This window comes from Homo sapiens, chromosome 2 (assembly GCF_000001405.40).
Source record: "Homo sapiens chromosome 2, GRCh38.p14 Primary Assembly".
In the NCBI taxonomy this organism is placed as follows: Eukaryota; Metazoa; Chordata; class Mammalia; order Primates; family Hominidae; genus Homo; species Homo sapiens.
Window position 1 is genome coordinate 84,569,752 of NC_000002.12, and position 18,283 is coordinate 84,588,034.

At 39.3% G+C, this 18,283-nt stretch overlaps 1 protein-coding gene across 14 annotated transcripts in view; it reads left to right on the plus strand.

Moving 5' to 3' along the window:
* DNAH6 (dynein axonemal heavy chain 6) overlaps positions 1–18,283 on the plus strand; it is a 360,018-nt gene that overhangs the window by 110,180 nt on the left and 231,555 nt on the right. For 13 of the 14 annotated variants that reach the window (XM_011532650.4, XM_011532649.3, XM_006711956.3 and 10 more), the window contains 4 exons: positions 3,716–3,836; positions 7,506–7,657; positions 9,776–9,928; positions 14,248–14,499. In XM_011532650.4, the coding sequence (XP_011530952.1) occupies positions 3,716–3,836; positions 7,506–7,657; positions 9,776–9,928; positions 14,248–14,499 (678 nt within the window). The remainder of the gene's footprint in view (positions 1–3,715; positions 3,837–7,505; positions 7,658–9,775; positions 9,929–14,247; positions 14,500–18,283) is intronic. The other variant, XM_047443590.1, reaches the window with a different exon arrangement.

Sequence of the window (18,283 nt, forward strand, 5' to 3'; positions counted from 1 at the left end):
ATTTAGAGTTGAGCAAAATAAATAAATATATTGTGAATGATGAGATGAGGTTACTCATCCTCAGAAAGGGAGTTACAAATATGGAAGAGGGAAGGCTGGAATGAACCCTATGTTGTTGCATTGGAATAGAGTTGTGAACTCATGGATTTTAATTGATCTGTGGAAAGATAAAGAAATGTGTAGGGTTTTGTGATTGTATGTGGGGTGTATGTGCGTTTCCTAGACCTGTCTGTTGAAATAGGCTACAAGCAATGACATCCCAATACCAATGAGCACATCTAGTATCCACATGTTAGTTTCTATGTATCATTCCCAATTGAAAGGAACTCTCTTTGTTCTCTTTGCAGTACTCTCTTCTTCAAGGGGTGGGGTAGGATAGTACAATATGAGCCTAGAGAATATTATTCACCTAAAAAAATAAGAACATGCCCAAATAACAATGGAGACATGTAAAAAAGACAAAAAGCCACCTCGAAGGGTCTCCCTGGTGAGAGGTGAAGCCAGCTGGACTTCCTGGGTTGAGTGGGGACTTGGGGAACTTTTTTGTCTAGCTAGAGGATTGTAAATGCCCCAATCAGCACTCTGTAAAAATGCACCAATCATTGCTCTGTGTCTAGCTAGAGGATTGTAAATGCCCCAATCAGCACTCTGTAAAAACACACCAATCAGCACTCTGTGTCTAGCTAAAGGAATGTAAATGCACCAATCAGCACTCTGTAAAAACGCACCAATCAGCACTCTGTGTCTAGCTAACGGATTATAAAGGCACCAGTCAGCACTCTGTGAAAATGCACCAATCAGTGCTCTGTGTCTAGCTAAAGGATTATAAATGCACCAATCAGTACTCTGTGAAAACACACCAATCAGCGCTCTGTCTCTAGCTAAAGGATTGTAAATGCACCAATCAGCACTCTGTAAAATGGGCCCATTAGCACTCTGTAAGATGGACCAATCAGCAGGATATGGGCAGGGCCAAATAAGGGAATAAAAGCTGGCCACCCGAGCCAGTAGCTGCAACCCACTCGGGTCCCCTTCCACGCTGTGGAAGGTTTGTTCTTTCGCTCTTCTCAATAAATGTTGCTGCTGCTCACTCTTGGGTCCGCACTACCTTTAAGAGCTGTAACACTTACTGGGAAGGTCTGCGGCTTCACTAATGAAGTCAGCAAGACCACGAACCCGCTGGGAGGAACAAACAACTCCGGACACACCATCTTTAAGAGCTGTAACACTCACCGTGAGAGTCCGGGGCTTCATTCTTGAAGTCAGCAAGACCGAGAATCCACCGGAAGGAACCAATTCTGGACACGCTGGGACAATTTGATCACTACCAAATCCTTTGAATAAAATGAGAATATATGAGTCCATGTTGTGAAATAATGAATTAACAAACTAATTGAATGAGTGAGAAGAGAAAGTTTTTCTTTGGTAGAATGCAAGCAAATAAATGTAGAAAGAAAACACAATTAGAAAATTCACTACAGAAGCCATCAGCAATCACCAAGAATCTCTGATGTGTACTAAAATGCGTATGCAAAAGTATAATAAGAAATGGGTTATTTACATAGCCTCAAATTCTCTGTCCATAAGCTACTTATTGATTTCAAAGGGGAAAATAGTTCACAGTGATAAGCCTGCCAAACGCTGCCTTAGCCAATGTGTTAGTATTACCAGTAATGAGACAACAAATGCCTTGTGAGATGCTGCAAATAACATACATCACTTATGTAGCATTACTGCCAAAAATTTAAATCTGAGTCTAATCATGAGGAAATATAAAACACACACATGCACATATACACACAACTGAGATACCTTTAAAAAATGTGAAGGTCATGCAAGGCAAAGAAAGATTGAGATATTGTCCCACATTAAAGAAAACCATCCAGGCGCAGTGGCTCACGCCTGTAATTCCAACACTTTGGGAGGCCTAGGTGGGCGGATCACAAGGTCAGGAGTTCAAGAGCAGCCTGGCCAAGACTGTGAAACCCCATCTCTACTAAAATTACAAAAAAAAAAAAAAAAATTAGCGTGGTGGCGGGCGCCTGTAATCCCAGCTACCCAGGAGACTGAGACGGAGAATTGCTTGAGCCCGAGAGGTGGAGGTTGCAGCAAGCCGAGATGGCACCACTGCACTCCAGCCTGGGTGACAGAGAGAGACTCTGTCTCAAAAAGAAAAAAAAGAAAAAAGAAAACCAAAAAGATGAAAAGATGCAATACATGATCCTAGGTAGAAAAGTAGACCAGAACAAAAAATGTTTTTTCCTTTTACTATGAAATTCATTACTGGAACAAATGGTAGAATTTGTATGAGGTCGGTAATTAGATAGCAGTATTAATATCCATGTTAATTTCCTGATTTGGACCATTATACTGTGGTTATGTAAGAAAATGTCCTTGTGTTTAGTAAGTAACCCCTGAAATATTTAGGGGTCAATGTGCCACATGTCTGTAACTTTCTCCCAAATGGTTCAGAGTATAATAATATGTGTATATAGACAGACTTATAAAGTAAATATGATAAATTGTTGAAGTTTAGGGAATTTTGGTGACAGAGATATGCAGTTCTTTGTACTATTCCAGTAACACTCTTGTGAATCATACATTGTTTCAAAATAAAAATGTTTTGAAATCATATTTTGAACATCGGTGGGGCTTTCCATTTACAAGCCTTATATTGTTTCTAGCACCTGCATGATGACATATGAGAGATACTATTTAGTCCGTTCAAAGGAAACATAGTTTGATAAAGTTTTTTTTCAATGTTTATTATAAAGAAGAAACAGCAGAAACATTCTGGAATATTCATAAAAGCCTATTAAAATAAATGAACAAATAACTAAATGTAAACATACAGGGTGTGTGCTATTCTTTGTAATTAAATTTTCTACTACCACAAGGCATAACTGAGTCACTTTCCCTAGCATTGGTGTGTTGGATTTGTGCAATTCCATTGGTCACCTCTAGTTTTCCTGGGACAAATTGCAGACTTTTACAAGTCTTAGTAGAAAACACAAGGAAAAGGTGTGGAGCACAGCCAAGTAGACATGGACCAAGACCAACAGCAAGTGAATCCTAACTGCCTTTCATAGACTTTGAACATATAATAATATATCTTGACACAGTTATTAAAGGGACTGAAGTGATTGGAAATCGTTGTCTTGGTTTAAAAAAACTTTGTGGGGAAATATGGGTTAGAACCAAGTTTAAGAGGGGTGAAGAAAAAGTTTTTATTATGGCAAAGTATGAAGGATATTTTGGAGTAAGAGACTGGCCAATGCCAAAGATTTGATAGTAAGATTAAGCAAGTGATTTTCTGGGCATGCTAAACAGGTTTGCCTTTGCTTAAAAACACAGTGACATAAAATATGCAGTTGGGAAAATAAACAAGTATTGCCTCTTTGCCATATGTTTACTAGCAATATATAAGTTCACCATGAAGCAGAAACAAATTGTGTTTCCTTTCAGTCACAGGAATAATTCTTCAAAAGTCAGGTTTAAAGATGAATTTTTTTTATTTCATAACAATTTCTTCTTGAATCCATCAATTACTCCTCGACATCAAGAATATATCTTTCTTCATTCATGTTTCCCAAATCAAAACATACTATTGGGCATAGAGTTTGTGTGCTTGCTTGTTTCTTTGTTTAGTTGTATTGAATTAAATTCTGCTTAACAAAAATATGGTCATATTTGTCTGCTTATTTATAACATTTAGGAAACCATTCAGGCCGCATTTGAATCAGCCCGCATCTATGCAGCTACCTTTGAAAAGTTCCAGATATTCTTCAAGGAAAATGAAAGTCTTGATTTACAAGCTCTTAAACTTCAGGAACCTGGTAACTTGTCCATTTGTACTTACTAATTATTTTTATAGGGATACTGAGATTTGTTGTTTTTTAGGATTCTGTTTGGTGGTGTCTGGGGACACAAATGGTAGCCCAAAAGAGTTGGCCTGACATAAGGCAAGAGTTAATTCATTTCTAGGTTATTTTCTATAGAATCACTTTTTTCCTTTCTCCTTATTCAGTATTACTTTTATTTCAGGATATTATGGAAAGCAATTCCTTCCTAATCGCTTATCATTTAGTTTAAAGTTGTATCAGTGCTAAGAGTATATAGCCTGCATATGAGAAGTTGTTGAAAGGAATGGATACCTCTACCAATTCCATTAAATAAAGTTTACATAAGCTTTTCTATCTCAGGAACTTATTCTTTTTTCTTCTGGGACTACATTAAGATCTGGTGGGTGTGAATCAACAACTCTTAGTCATGAAATAAGACCTAGGAGAAAACTGTTTTATTTCACTGTCTTTAACAATAGAAGATAATCTACAATATCCAAGTGCAATTTCAGGCAAGCAAGTTCTCAGAAAATTATAAAAAATAAGTATATTTGTTTGCTATTTTAAATCATGATGCATGTCTTTCATATTCTTTTTTATTTCATGAGCTTCCTTTATTTTCTTATATATAAATATAATTACAATTACATTGATACTTTGCTCTATGAACCAGCACTAATTTTTTCTTTATGTTTTTATGTTTTTCTTTCAATTCCTTATTGTTTACTATGCTGAAGTATTCTTAAGTTAAATAATTCAATATGCATCTCTAAAACATGTTTCTACAGAATGAAAATAGTATCATCCTCCACCGAAATAGCAATTCCTTAATATCTTAACTTATTCCATTTTCAAAATTCCTCAAGTAAAGCAGCTTCCAGATGATTTGGCCAGGGATCAAGTCCAAGATCAGTCATTGTATCTGATTGTTATGTCCCTTAAATTTTAAAAATCTGAAACTGACTCCTTTTTTTCAAGATACTAAGTCGTTAGACCAAAATGTGGCCCCAATTTAGAAAACAAAATTTAGACAAGCCTACTTCCACTGTTCTTTGACAACACTATCACATGGAGACTTAGTGTGTGCTGAACAGAAGCATACCGACAGGGACGTGAGGACATGATGCCTCCTGTGCTATGTCATGGCATCACAGTGGCAGCAGGGTATGGAGCCTGGAATTTTGGCACAAGAAGGAGGCCTGATCAAAATAGCCAGTTCTAATCCCTGAGCTCTTCTACTCATATCCTGAGCCCAAGGCTTCCTAGCCTCCTGCTACCACAGTCCTCACGTTGGATAACTGTGATCCCTCAGCAAGTTCCCATCAGCATGCAGTCCCCTGACTCCCAGGTTGCTCTTCAGCTAGTCCTATCTTGTCTTGCCAGTCCTGCCTTTGAAACCCAATCCTGGAACCAGGTCTCCCAGTCCCAACACTCTGATGGCTGCGACTTTGGAGTACCTTGGCCTGGACTCCTAACCTCTGTGCTCCTCCTCTGTTTGGAACCCCCAGTACGTCCTAAACCACTAAATCCAGTTGTTTGCCAGAGGGTTATAGAGGTGGGCTTTGCCCTTGGATATCAACCTTACCTGTTATTTGATATCCTCAAACGACTACAACATTGCTTAGCACATATTGTAGATCCTTAATAAATGTCTAACTGAACTTTTAGCCAGACTGCTCCCTGTCCTGCCTCAGAGAACGACCAGCAGATAGGTTCTGGCTTCCTGACAAGCAGCCACATCTCACCACCAAGTTCCTATAAATGTCAGCATTTACTAATAATTTCTACACTTTACTGAGCACTTACAGCATGATAGATACTGTTCTAAGTAATATTTAGACATTTCATCCAATCCTCACAATTCTGAGGAGAGTATTAGTATTACCATTTTATAAAAGGAAAACAGAGATCTATAGAGATAAGGCAACCTCAGGATTAAACAGCTAGTGAGCAGTTTAGATCTAATTTCTCTGACTTGAAAGCTTGTCTGCTTAACCGTTTTACGTACTGCCTCTCCGCGGTGGCTCACGCCTGTAATCCCAGAACTTTGGGAGGCCGAGGCGGGGGGATCACGAGGTCAGGAGATTGAGACCATCCTGGCTAACATGGTGAAACCCCGTCTCTACTAAAAGTACAAAAAATTAGCCGGGTGTGGTGGCGGGGGCCTGTGGTCCCAGCTACTCCAGGGGCTGAGGCAGGAGAATGGTGTGAACCCAGGAGGCGGAGCTTGCAGTGAGCCGAGATCGCGCCGCTGCACTCCAGCCTGGGCGACAGTGCAAGACTCCGTCTCAAAAAAAAAGGAGAAAGAAATCGTATTTCTCAACTATCGGCTTTAATCTTTTATTCCTTTTTGGCTATGTGGCCATAGCCAAGTCATATGACCTCAATTTCTCTATCTATGAAATAAGAGTTTTGGACCAAATAAATGGTTCCCAAAGTTGTGTTCATTGGCACTGTTCTGAGGGATAATTACATGATACCATGAAAAAAGATGGTGCTCAAATAAATTTGGAAAATACTAAACAGCGCAGCATTATACGGGTATCCTTACCATACGACTTATCAGATCATTTAACATCTTAATTTAGTCGGCTTTCAAAAATACACAAATCAAAACCTTCTGAAGTGAGTAAGGGAGGTAATTGCTGTTTCTGTCTTATATTATGAGGAAGCTGAAGCTCGGAAAGACTAAGTAACTTTCCCAAGGCCACACATGGGTTAAAGACCTGAGCTCAGGTCTTCCAATACTTTCTCTGGTGTGTTCTTTATACTATATCAAACTACCCCTTATAATTAGGAGAGGAGATGGCATGAATAAAGGCAGGAAACAGCACCCCTTTCTCTTTGGGGTGGTGGAGGAAGATTATGGAAGGAGGAAAAAGGGCAGACAGTAAGGAAATCAATTTGACCCAAATGTAGGAGGTAATTAGAAATAAAATTAGCTAAATTTTTAGAGGCCCAGAGGGTACAGAATTTTGAAAGACAAGCAGAGAAGTTTAGAACTGTATATGCATTAGAGAGAGAGCTATTTTTGACTGATAGTATGATGAGAGTATATTCAAGGATAATGAGGTTTCCATTGGTTCCAGATGGATTGGATGAGGGAGGAAATGGAGGCAAGAAGATTATCAAAATGCAACTGCAGCATATGCAAATTGACAAAGGCCTTGACCATGATGTAGGGTGCAGGAATGGCAGAGAGATGTGTTGGGAAGAGAAACAGAGATAATTTTAGCTATGTGTGATCTCTTATATTTCAAATTTTGTTGTTGTTTATATTCTCAAAATGCTTTACTTTGAGACACCATGTGGGAGAGAACATTTAGATTAATCCCAACTTGAAACCAACCTAACTCTGAAATCTAGTCAATTCCAGACTAGATTCTCTAATGCACTTACAAGTTATTTTCATCTGTCATCTCTTCATAGGAGCCAGAAGACATATTTACATTATAAAATATTAGTTTCTTTATCACAAGAATAAAATCCTATAAAGCAATCCAATTAGCATTTTAAAGTTACATGAGATACTCTAAGTACAGATAATAACATTATACATATATGTGTAAATTTATCAATGCAATGATTTTTAATATATTTTGTAATGATCTTTTAAAATCCAATATGGTATATTTTATGCTTTATGTGAATTTTTTTATGTAGATATTAACTTTTTTAGTGAACAACTGGAAAAATATCACAAACAGCACAAGGACGCAGTAGCGCTCAGACCCACCAGAAATGTAGGATTGCTGCTCATTGATACTAGGCTTCTAAGAGAAAAATTAATTCCATCACCTTTGCGATGCTTAGAGGTAACTATAAACTAGAAAAAAAAATAATTATTCCTCTACAATTATTTTATGATTTTTCTACTGCACAAAAACCTAGTATTTATTTTATAGTATTGCAAATATAAAAATTAACATAAGACTATTGGACATCCTTAATTTCTAAGAAAAGCTCTATAGTCTTTTTGTCACAAGCATAATCAGCTTTTTAGATGAGATAATGGAGGGGACTGCAGGCCTCACACTGGCCTCTTGCTCCTACTCCTTTTTCCATTGTCGGAGCATTTCAAGACCTGCAGAGAGGATACTACCATAACAGCTCAATATCCTAGAGGGAGTGATGGTTGATTCTAGACCACCGAGATCAAGTTTAGGAAATCATTTTCTGATCTGGAATTGTCCCTACAGGTCTGATTATGTTTTGGTAAGTTATAGAACTAGGGAAATTTCTGTAATAAGTTTCAGAACCAATACAATAATTTCCTTTGGAGCCAGAGTATACTTGTGTCTTCCCAATGCCCACAGAAAGACAATGATATAAAACAGGAATTGGAAAACTATAGCCCACAGAGCCAACCCAGCCTGCCTCTTGTTTTGTATACAGTTTTATCAGAACACAGCCATGACAATGGTTTACATATCATCTATGGCTGCTTTCTTCCTACAAGGACAAAGTTTAGTAGTTGTGACAGAGACTGTATTGACTGCAAATCTAAAATATTTACTATCTGGCCCTTATAGAAAACATTTTCTGGCCCCTGGTAGATGATAGAAGATAGAGCACTGTATAAAAAAGAGTGCAGACCTGAGTGCTAGTATTTTCTGTTATTAATTAATTGTATGGCATTGGGCTTCCTTCTAGAGTTTTGCTTCTTCATCTGGTAAAAAAAAGAAATATATATATAATTATGTATATAATTGGAGCAAATTTAATTCAATTTCAACAAGCACTTTTTAGCTACTGTATGCTCAAGAAATACTTGGATATGTATTTACTGTAAGCCCAAGAAAACTGAACTCAAGCTGGCTTAAGCAATCAGGAGAGTTATTGGCATATGTATCTAAAAAGTCCAGAGATTGGGTCGATATCAAGGAGGTATGATCTAGTGGCTCAGTGGTGTTACCAAGGAACCAATTATTTCTTTCTCTTTCCTGAGCCTCCTTATGTGCAGGCTTCATCCTAAGGCATTTGTAAAGTGATTGTCAAAAGCTCCACAAGCCAATTATTTGTTTGTATGGAGAGAGACAGAGAAAGCCTGGGGTTCTGAGTACACGTCTCTCTCAGCCATAAATAAAAGTGTGGGCCTTTATCTGATTGAATCAACTAAAGTCAGAGGTTCACACTTGATATGGTTTAGATTTGTGTGCCCACCCAAATCCCACCTTGAATTGTAATCCCCAGGTGTAAAGGGAGGAACCTGATAGAAAGTGATTGGATTATGGGGGTGGTTTCCCCTATGCTGTTCTCCTGACAGTAAGTGAATTCTCACAAGATCTGATGGTTTTATAAATCGTGGTTTTTCCTGCACTCTCACATACTTCTTCCTGCTGCCTTGTGAAGAAGGTGCCTTGCTTCCCCCTTCACCTTCTGCCATGATTGTAAGTTTCCTGAAGCCTCCCCAGCCATGCTGAACTGTGAGTCAATTAAACTTGTTTCCTTTATAAATTACCCAGTCTCGGGCAGTTCTTTATAGTAGCGTGAAAATCTTAATCTGATCAGTTTGGCCAAAAAAGCCATGTTCCTATTTGCCAAGTCATCAGTCAGACTGCATATTTGTTTCTGAAGGAGAGATCAAATTCCCCCAAACTGCATGGCTAGCGCCCAACATGAAAGGAGTGGGACTGATGCTGGACAGGGCAGCACAATGTCCACTACATAGGACAAAGAAGCAGAAAGCATACTTGCAAAATATTAGAGCATTTAGGGAAAATTTTTGGTAAGCTGTGGAAATGATCTTCAAAACCTGGCCTTCCTGTTGGCTCATTTAACTAGCAGTGATTTAAAGAGAAAAAAAGTCTCTTCGTATTCACTGCTGCTTCCAATGCCTGCTGATTTAACAAATCCAATTAGGATTTGTCTGAAATACATAATAAAATGAAAATATTCGACTATTTACAATTCACACGGTGTTTCTTTCTTAGGTGCTAAATTTTATGCTTCCTCGTCAAAGCAAGAAAAAAGTGGATGCCATTATCTTTGAGGCACAAGATGCAGAGTATAAACTTGAGTTTGTTCCAACTACTACCACAGAATATGTTCATAGCTTATTATTTCTTGATGAAATTCAGGAACGGGTGAGTTGATTATCTCATATAACTCAATATTCCAGATCTTATAGTAGGAAGGAAGACATAGGACAAGAAAAAGTGAAGGACTAAGGGGCAAAAGACAGCTGTCAAATATCAGAAACACTTTCAAAGTAAGTGGATGTTCTACATCACAGGAATAAAGCCAGCTGACAGTTATCAGACTCTTAGTACTAGTCAGGCATCGTATTACACTTTCTACATGCATTACATTTTTAATTCTCACAAAAGCTTGAAAAGTGTTGATATTTATCCTCATTCTGCAGATAAGGAAACAGAAACCAAAACAGGATGTGTGATCCGAGATCACAAACATGTATGGATGTGATAGAGTTAGAATTTAGATTTGAGTCTCTTTGACTGCAAAACCAATGTTCTCAGCCATAGGTTATTGGAATTCTAATTTTTAGTAAATGGTAATACCATTGTAATCTAGATGTTAATCATAATGGAAGTCTGGCTGCATAATAGTCAGGAAACTTACTGTTAAGAATGAAAGAAACCCAACACAAACCCGCTTAAGTGGGGAGGTGGAGGTGGGGAGAAAAAAGTGGATATGGGGACTCAAATGATGCAGATGGAATCAGGTCTCTGTTTCTCTCTCTTATACACACACATACACACGCACACACACACACACACACACACACACACACACACTCCTTTGTCTCTTTTGCTTCTTTTTCTCCGGAAACTTGGTTTCCTCCTCTCAGCCTCTTCCCTGTAGGAAGCAATCTAGCATTTGGCTCCAATAGTTTTTTCATAAACTTCCATTCATATTATGTTGGCATTTAAAATATAGATAAATTATTTTCTTAAATATCTGAAAATTGAAGAAATGCTTCAATTAAAAAAGTAAACTGAATGTTATATATTATTAACCAAATTAATAATAAATGCTATTTCACATGACTACAAAGGTAACAGTGTTTCTCATTTCAAGAAATCGTGCCTTCTCAAAAAGGCAGATGATCATGGTTCTCTTCAGATTTGCTTATAAATTGTCCTAGGAGTCTAAAGATGCGAATTGCTTATTATTGTTTGTATTCATTAAGCCACTTCAAACAAATAACCCAAACCCACTTGAGAAAGCTTAGGCCAAAATAGGGATCCTACTTAAGGATTCAGGGGTGCTTCATGGAACTTCCTATCAAGAATGTAAGTAGGCTCAGGAACTGACCAGAACCCAGAATGGGACAGCTGTAGGACGCCCCAGTAGTCCTTCCTTCCATCTCTCCTCTCTGCATCTCTCTGAGGGTCTGCTTCACTTCTCTCCCTCTGCAGACAGCTACTTCTGCTTCTTCTTACCACAGCAGCAAACATGGCCACCAGCAGCTCCCAAGCTATAGCTTGCAAGTCTAGCCAGTCAGCAAGAAAGAGATAATCTCTCTTTTTCAGTATTGATTCTAAAGGCCTAGTAAATTGATTCAGAGCTCCTATTCTGTTCTATAAACTATGTCAGGAAGGTAGGGTCACATCATAATCAATGGCTGCAGAGGGTCAGCTGCTATCACCTTGTGGTTCCAGAACAGCTAGTTGATGCAGTATGCAGAAAACATAGACTGTGTCCCATCTCCAGGAGGTTGTCTGTGTTTGCTGGGTGGTGTGTTTGGAAAGCAGCTTCCTTTAGGGAGATTCTCTGCACACACAAAAACTTTTTTTTGGAATGTCATTCATTCAGTCAGCAAGTTTAGTGAGCATCACTTAGCGTGGTGCAAAAATTACAATGAATAAACCTGCTTTAAAGAAGTTGAGTCTTGAATGCAAGCAGATAATTTTCATACAAAGAGCATAGGAATAAGATACTGTTGTAACACTGGGAAGTTTGTAGTAATTCCTGCCTATGGGTTACAGAAGACTGTGTGGAGGATGGAATATTTAAGCTGTCATAAAATACATGAAACATTCAGGTGGGCATTCCAGGGAGAGGGAAAGCCATGTGCAAAAACAGGAGGCAACGTGACAAAAACAGGATTTAGCAATTTAAAAAACAGATTTAGCTATGGAGAAAGAATGTTTAGTTGAAAGTTGATGAACTCTATGTAGCTAAAGCAGTATTTTCAAAGATAGGAGAGAATAAATTAATTATAAAGATGTTAAGTAGAATTGAAAGGACTTAATGGGCAACTGAATGAGGGGACAGTGAGAGGAGAATGAGGTGACCTATAGGTATCATTCTGCAGGGAATGGGTATTTAGCAGTTTCATACCGGTATAGGGAGGGTAGGCTACATAATTCATTGTCCGATCAGGACATTTTTCTGAGAGTGAAAGAGACACTATTAATCATTGTACTAGGACAATAAGTGTAAACCCAGGACATTCCCAGAGAAACCTGGATATATACTCGCCCAAAATAGAGGAAATAGAGGAAGATGAACAGATCTTGATGTAGAGAGACTTAATTCTATACATAACTTGTTCGAGGTGTTAGAAACTTTGGTTGAAAGTCACAAAAACTCACATAAATAGCTTAGAAAAATGGGAAGATTTATTCTAAGTTTGCAGGAATATCTTTCAGAATCCTAAAGTATGGATAGAGCCAGGTCTTTACAAAAAGGCCTCTCTCCTTCTCTCATCTCTGCTATTCTAGAACCGTGGTTCTCAAAGGGGGACTCCAGATCAGCAGCAGCAGCAGCATCTGAAAATGGGTTAAAAATGTATATTCTTCGGACCCACCCTACATGACTACAGTGTTTTTATGACTTGCTAGACCTTCTGAATCAGACACTCTCGGGAGGGGCTCAGCAATCTGTTTTTGTTTTTGTTTTTTTCCTTTGAGACGGAGTCTCGCTCTGTCGCCCGGCCTGGAGTGCAGTGGCGCCATCTCAGCTCACTGCAAGCTCCGCCTCCCGGGTTCACGCCATTCTCCTGCCTCAGCCTCCTGAGTAGCTGGGACTACAGGCATCCGCCACTGCGCCCAGCTAATTTTTTTCTATTTTTAGTAGAGACGGGGTTTCACCGTGTTAGCCAGGATGGTCTTGATCTCCTGACCTCATGATCCGCCTGCCTCAGCCTCCCAAAGTGCTGGGATTACAGGTGCAGTAAGCCACTGCACCCGGCCAGCAATCTGTTTTAACAAGCTTTCCAAGGTCATTGCAATGGAAGCTAAAGATTGAGAACTATTTCTCTAAAAGCCTGTCTGCAGTTATCTTCTCGTGTTAATGACCTGTTATGTTTCCACATAAAAGTAAATGGCCTCAGTCCTAACTCTTCCTGTGTTCAAGAGAAAGGTCAGACTGAGCCAAGTTCTTTAGATCACAGTTTGATGCTCCTTGGTTCAGCCTGTGGCCAGGAAATTGGGCCAAGTAGTACGAACATGGCTGCTCCCTCTATAACCATGTGGCAGAGTTGCGGGTAAGGAGCATTCCCAAAACTGGGGTATCCCTTGCCAGAAAATTAGGAAAGACAAGCAATACTGTCCACTGGAAGTGAGAAACCAAAGTGAAGATGTTTAGTAGTCACTGGGCTGTAGTAAAATAATTTATTAAAGGATAGTGGGAATCTCACCATAGATCTGGGTTCTTAACCTATGCAGCCAAGTCCACAGCCTATCGATCCCTCGGGCTGCTCTGGGATGATCACTGCCCATCACACATGCCTGGAAGCTCAGATACTACAGCTGAACAACCCCACAGCACATGTTTTCTTAGAAAACTTTAAATATTGGCACTGTTTAATACAACAAAAGAACAAAACAGAAAAAAAGAGGAAACATTTATAAGAGCTCAGCTCTGAATAATTTACCTCCTAACCTGATTACCTGTATTATAGCAATGACTATCATCCAGCAGGCTTTAGCCAATTTGACCGTAACATTATAATACACTCCTTCTGTGCTGACTATTCAGTTTGATGTTTGATATGGTTTGGCTGTATCTCCACCCAAATCTCACCTTGAATTGAATTCCTACATGTCAAAGATGGGGCCAGGTGGAGATAATTGAATCATGGGGGTGGTTTCCCCCATACTGTTCTCATGCTAGTGAATAAGTCTCATGATATCTGATGGTCTTATAAATGGGAGTTTCCCTGCACAAGTTCTCTTGCCTGCTGTCACGTAAGACATGCCTTTGCTTCTCCCTTGCCTTTAGCCGTGACTGTGAGTCCTCCCCAGCCATGTGGAACTGTGAGTCCATTAAACCTTTCTTTTATAAATTACCCAGTCTTAGATATGTCTTTATTAGCAGCAGCAGAACAGACTAATACAATGTTCATATTGTACAGTGTCTGTCTCCTGTTAGAACAAACTTCAAGACTAAACTAGGATTCTGCTACATTTAATGAGCAAACTATGTTTCCATTTAGATTGAAAGCCTTGAAGATGAGGGGAATATAGTGACTCAAATGTACAAGCTTATGGAACAATATCAGGTGCCCACACCTCCTGAAGACTTTGCTGTTTTTGCAACTATGAAGCCATCCATTGTTGCTGTTCGGAATGCCATTGATAAATCAGTGGGTGATAGAGAATCAAGCATTAAGCAATTTTGTGTGCATTTGGGTAGTGATCTTGAAGAATTAAACAACGAAGTGAATGAAGTAAAACTGCAAGCACAGGTAAGCTAAATCATTATTTTGTAAAAATAATCTATGCAAAGTTTTACTATTACATTTGTTTATTAAAGTATAATCAACAGATAAAAATTGTATATATTTACAATATATAATGTGATGTTTTGATATACGTATACATTGTGAAATTGTTAATCAAGCTAATTAATGTGTCCATCACGTCACATACATCATTTTTTGTGGTGAGAATAATTAAGACTACTCTTCAAACCATTTAGAGAACACATTTAACTGATGTAGCTTTAGTTTTTTATAGTATCATTCTAACCAATCAACAATGTCTTTGAGCTGCTACTTAAAAATTAATGTTTCAAAATCTCTGTTTAAGTAGTGAATACATTTCAGACTATCACAAAGCATATATGTAATATTAAAATTGAATTTAGCCAATTAAATTCTAGTCCTAACTTGTATTTATTATTTTGAAGAGTGTTTTAATGACTTGCTAGCACATTTTACAGCTATTGTCACAATTTTAAAGTTTGCTTAATACCTGGGTGATGAAATAATTCATACAACAAACCCCCATGACACAAGTTTACCTGTATAACAAACCTGCACATGTATCCCTGAACTTAAAATAAAAGCTAAATAAAAAATAAAAATAAACTTTGCTGGTATATTAGAAAATTCCCATTTAGAAAGAGACAGAGTGTACATTGATAATTGGTAGTGAAGAATATTTGGTTACCTTGTACCACTTTTACAATAGAAAAAATATAGGGTACATTGACTCAAAAGAATATAATACAGACATTAAAGATTACAGTATACCTTTACATGTATTAACGTGGAAATGTAAAAACAGCTCACATTGTGTGCTGCCTATTTCTCAAGCAGTGTTCGAAGGACTTGGCACTGTTGTTACTTTTGTATTGAAGCACTTTTGTATTTTCTTACAGACAAAAGTGTACATAACTAATTACTGTACAACTCAATGAATTATCTGAAAGTAAACACATCTATGTATCCACTACTCATATCAATAAAGCATTATGATACCCTTAGTGTCCCCTCCTAATTACTCATCCTTTTGTTATGGGATATTTGGGGTGTCATTTTTCTGGCTGGAAACCTCTGTGGCCAGTAGTACCTTTGCCTAAGTTCTTGCCCTGCATCTAGGAAGAATGAGGTATGCAGACAAGTGGAGGGTGAGCAAGATGAAGAGGAGCTTTATTCAGTGTTAGAACAGCTCGGAGGAAATCCGCAGTGGGTAGCTGCTCTCTAGGCAGGTCATCCCATTGAGTGTTCAGCTCTCAGCAGAGAGGAGGCCCTGGAATGGGTGACTCCTCTCTGCAGGCAGGTTGTCCCATCATCTCTGCAGCTCTCAGCAGAGAGGAGGCCTGGAGAGGGTAGCTCCCCTCTGCAGCTGGTTTTCCCGATGTATGCCCAGCTCCTAGCAGAGAGGAGACCCTGAAGTGGGTTGCTACTCTCTGCAGCTGGTAGCCCCGACATCTCTGCAGGTCTCTGAACCTCTCAGCAGAGAGGGTAGCTGCCCTCTGCAGCTGGTTGTCCCATTATCTGCTCAGCTCTGGCTGAGCCCAGGGCTTTTATGGACCTCAGAGGGGAGGAAGTGTGTACTGATTGGCCCATGGGGGATAATGGGCAGGCTGGAAAAGGCATCACAAGTTCCTACACTGGTCTGTGGGACTGGCAGCCCAGCCCCCAGCCTTCAGGCCAATGTGGGGCCTCACCGGGGACCCACCCCCTTCCATTCAGGAATCTATCTGCCTCCTGCTGCTGTTCATGGCACCAGGGTTGGGCCTTGACTTTGCTCCAAGATCAGAGAAGATCAAAGAAGTGCCTGCTCCCACTGCCTGGCTTCTCTCCCTTCCAAGATCAGAGCAGGGAGAGACCAGGCTGCAGAAGCAGGCACTTCCAAGCCTGAGAGGGCAAAGGGGTCTTCCCATGCCCCCAAGAGCACAGGACTGCCTGAGTCTGCAGCAACAGTTTGGGTGGCTACAGCTGCGCCCAAGGAACTCCCACCCCAACTTGGAAGGGGCAAAGCTCCCACTTGTCCCTAACTGGCTCCATGGAGTGTGCCACTGGCTCCATGGAGTGTGCAGCCCTGGCCATGCCTCCCTGCTGCAGCAGGCGTGTTGGCAGTGGCAGGCCATCTGGAGCGGGAATGTTATAAATTTCCTATTTTTGAACTTCTATTAATTAGAACCACACAGTGTGCCCTTTATTTTATTTTGGTATGTTCCTAAGATTTATGCATATTGCTATTTGTGGATGTAGTTTATTCATGTTTATTGCTATGTAGTGTTTTATTGTATTTTACAGTGATTCATTTCATGGGTGATGGAAATTGGGATTATCTACCATGTGGGGCAATCATGAGTAATAGTCCTAGAAATATTCTTATGTATGTCTTCATGTTTTAACTCATTTAAATCTCAAAACACTTTAGGGTTTTATTATTCACATTTTACAGAAAAGGAAATTAGGGGACAGGGTTAAGTAACTTGCCAAGGGTCACGCAGTTACTAAATGGAGGAATCTGGATTCAAGCGTAAGCAGTCTACTGTCAATGGTTAATAGTCTGCTATTAATTGCTCTACCATATACTGTATTCTATACACAGCATATGGTTAAAAAGTATGAATATCTATGTATACATAGATCATTAGAGAAAGCAAAAGTGCCAGCACATGCTTGATGTATAATCATGCATTTTTTATTTTTTAAGAAACTTTTATTTTGGGTTCAGGGATACATGTGCAGGTTTGTTATATAGGTAAACTCATGTCTCAGAGGTTTGCTGCATAGGTTATTTTGTCACCCAGATACAAGGCCTAGTACCCAATAGATATTTTTTCTGATCCTCTCCCTCCTCCCATCCTCCACCCTCAGGTAGGCCCCAGTGTCTGTTGTTCCTCTCTTTGTGTCCATGTGTTCTCAACATTTAGCTTTCACTTATAAGTAAGAACATGCAATACTTGGTTTTCTGTTCCTGCATTAGTTTGCTATGAATAATGGCCTCCAGCTCCACCTATATTCCTGCAAAGGACATTATCTTGTTATTTTTTATGGCTTCATAGTGTTCCGTGTGTCCACATACCAGATTTTCTTTATCCAATCTGATACTGATTGGCATTTAGATTGATTGCATGTCTTTGCTATTGTGGATAGTGCTGCAATGAATATCTGCATGCAAATCATGCATTTTAAATAGCATGATGCACTTACACAAAATGAAAGCATGGCCCATTCTAACTAGTGCTTCTTCTATAGAAGGTTTGAAATTAGTTCTCTTTGGCAAAGGACTGTAACTTCATCATTTACATAAATGATACTATCTTGCTATCAAGACCCTCATTCCTGCTGTTGCAGAGAATTAGGGAGAAAACCTAAATGTGACCATTAATGATAATTTATTTCAGTTTGAAATGTCTGTTCCATTCTACCTGGGTCTCTTTTGGATAGATTTTAATTCAGCTGAAAATCTAAACTTCCTATTGGGCGTTTTTTCACCTATGCCACCATCCCCTCCTACCTATTGCCCCATAAAGGGAAGCTTGAATTCCCTCATGGCGAATAGATGGGAGGGGCAGGTCATCTGTTCTTCATGCTACCTTTTGGGCCATAGCAGCGTCCAGTGCAGTTTGGCTGGGCTGCACCTGGTTGTCCCAGGTTGCTGTTAACTAAGGGTCTTTCCTGGTTCTTTAGGCACCATGCTAGCCCCTATGCTGCAATCCATAATTTCTTCCATAGCCTACAATCCCAAGTAATCTGTGGCTTTCTTATCCTGGCCTCAGACATCTTC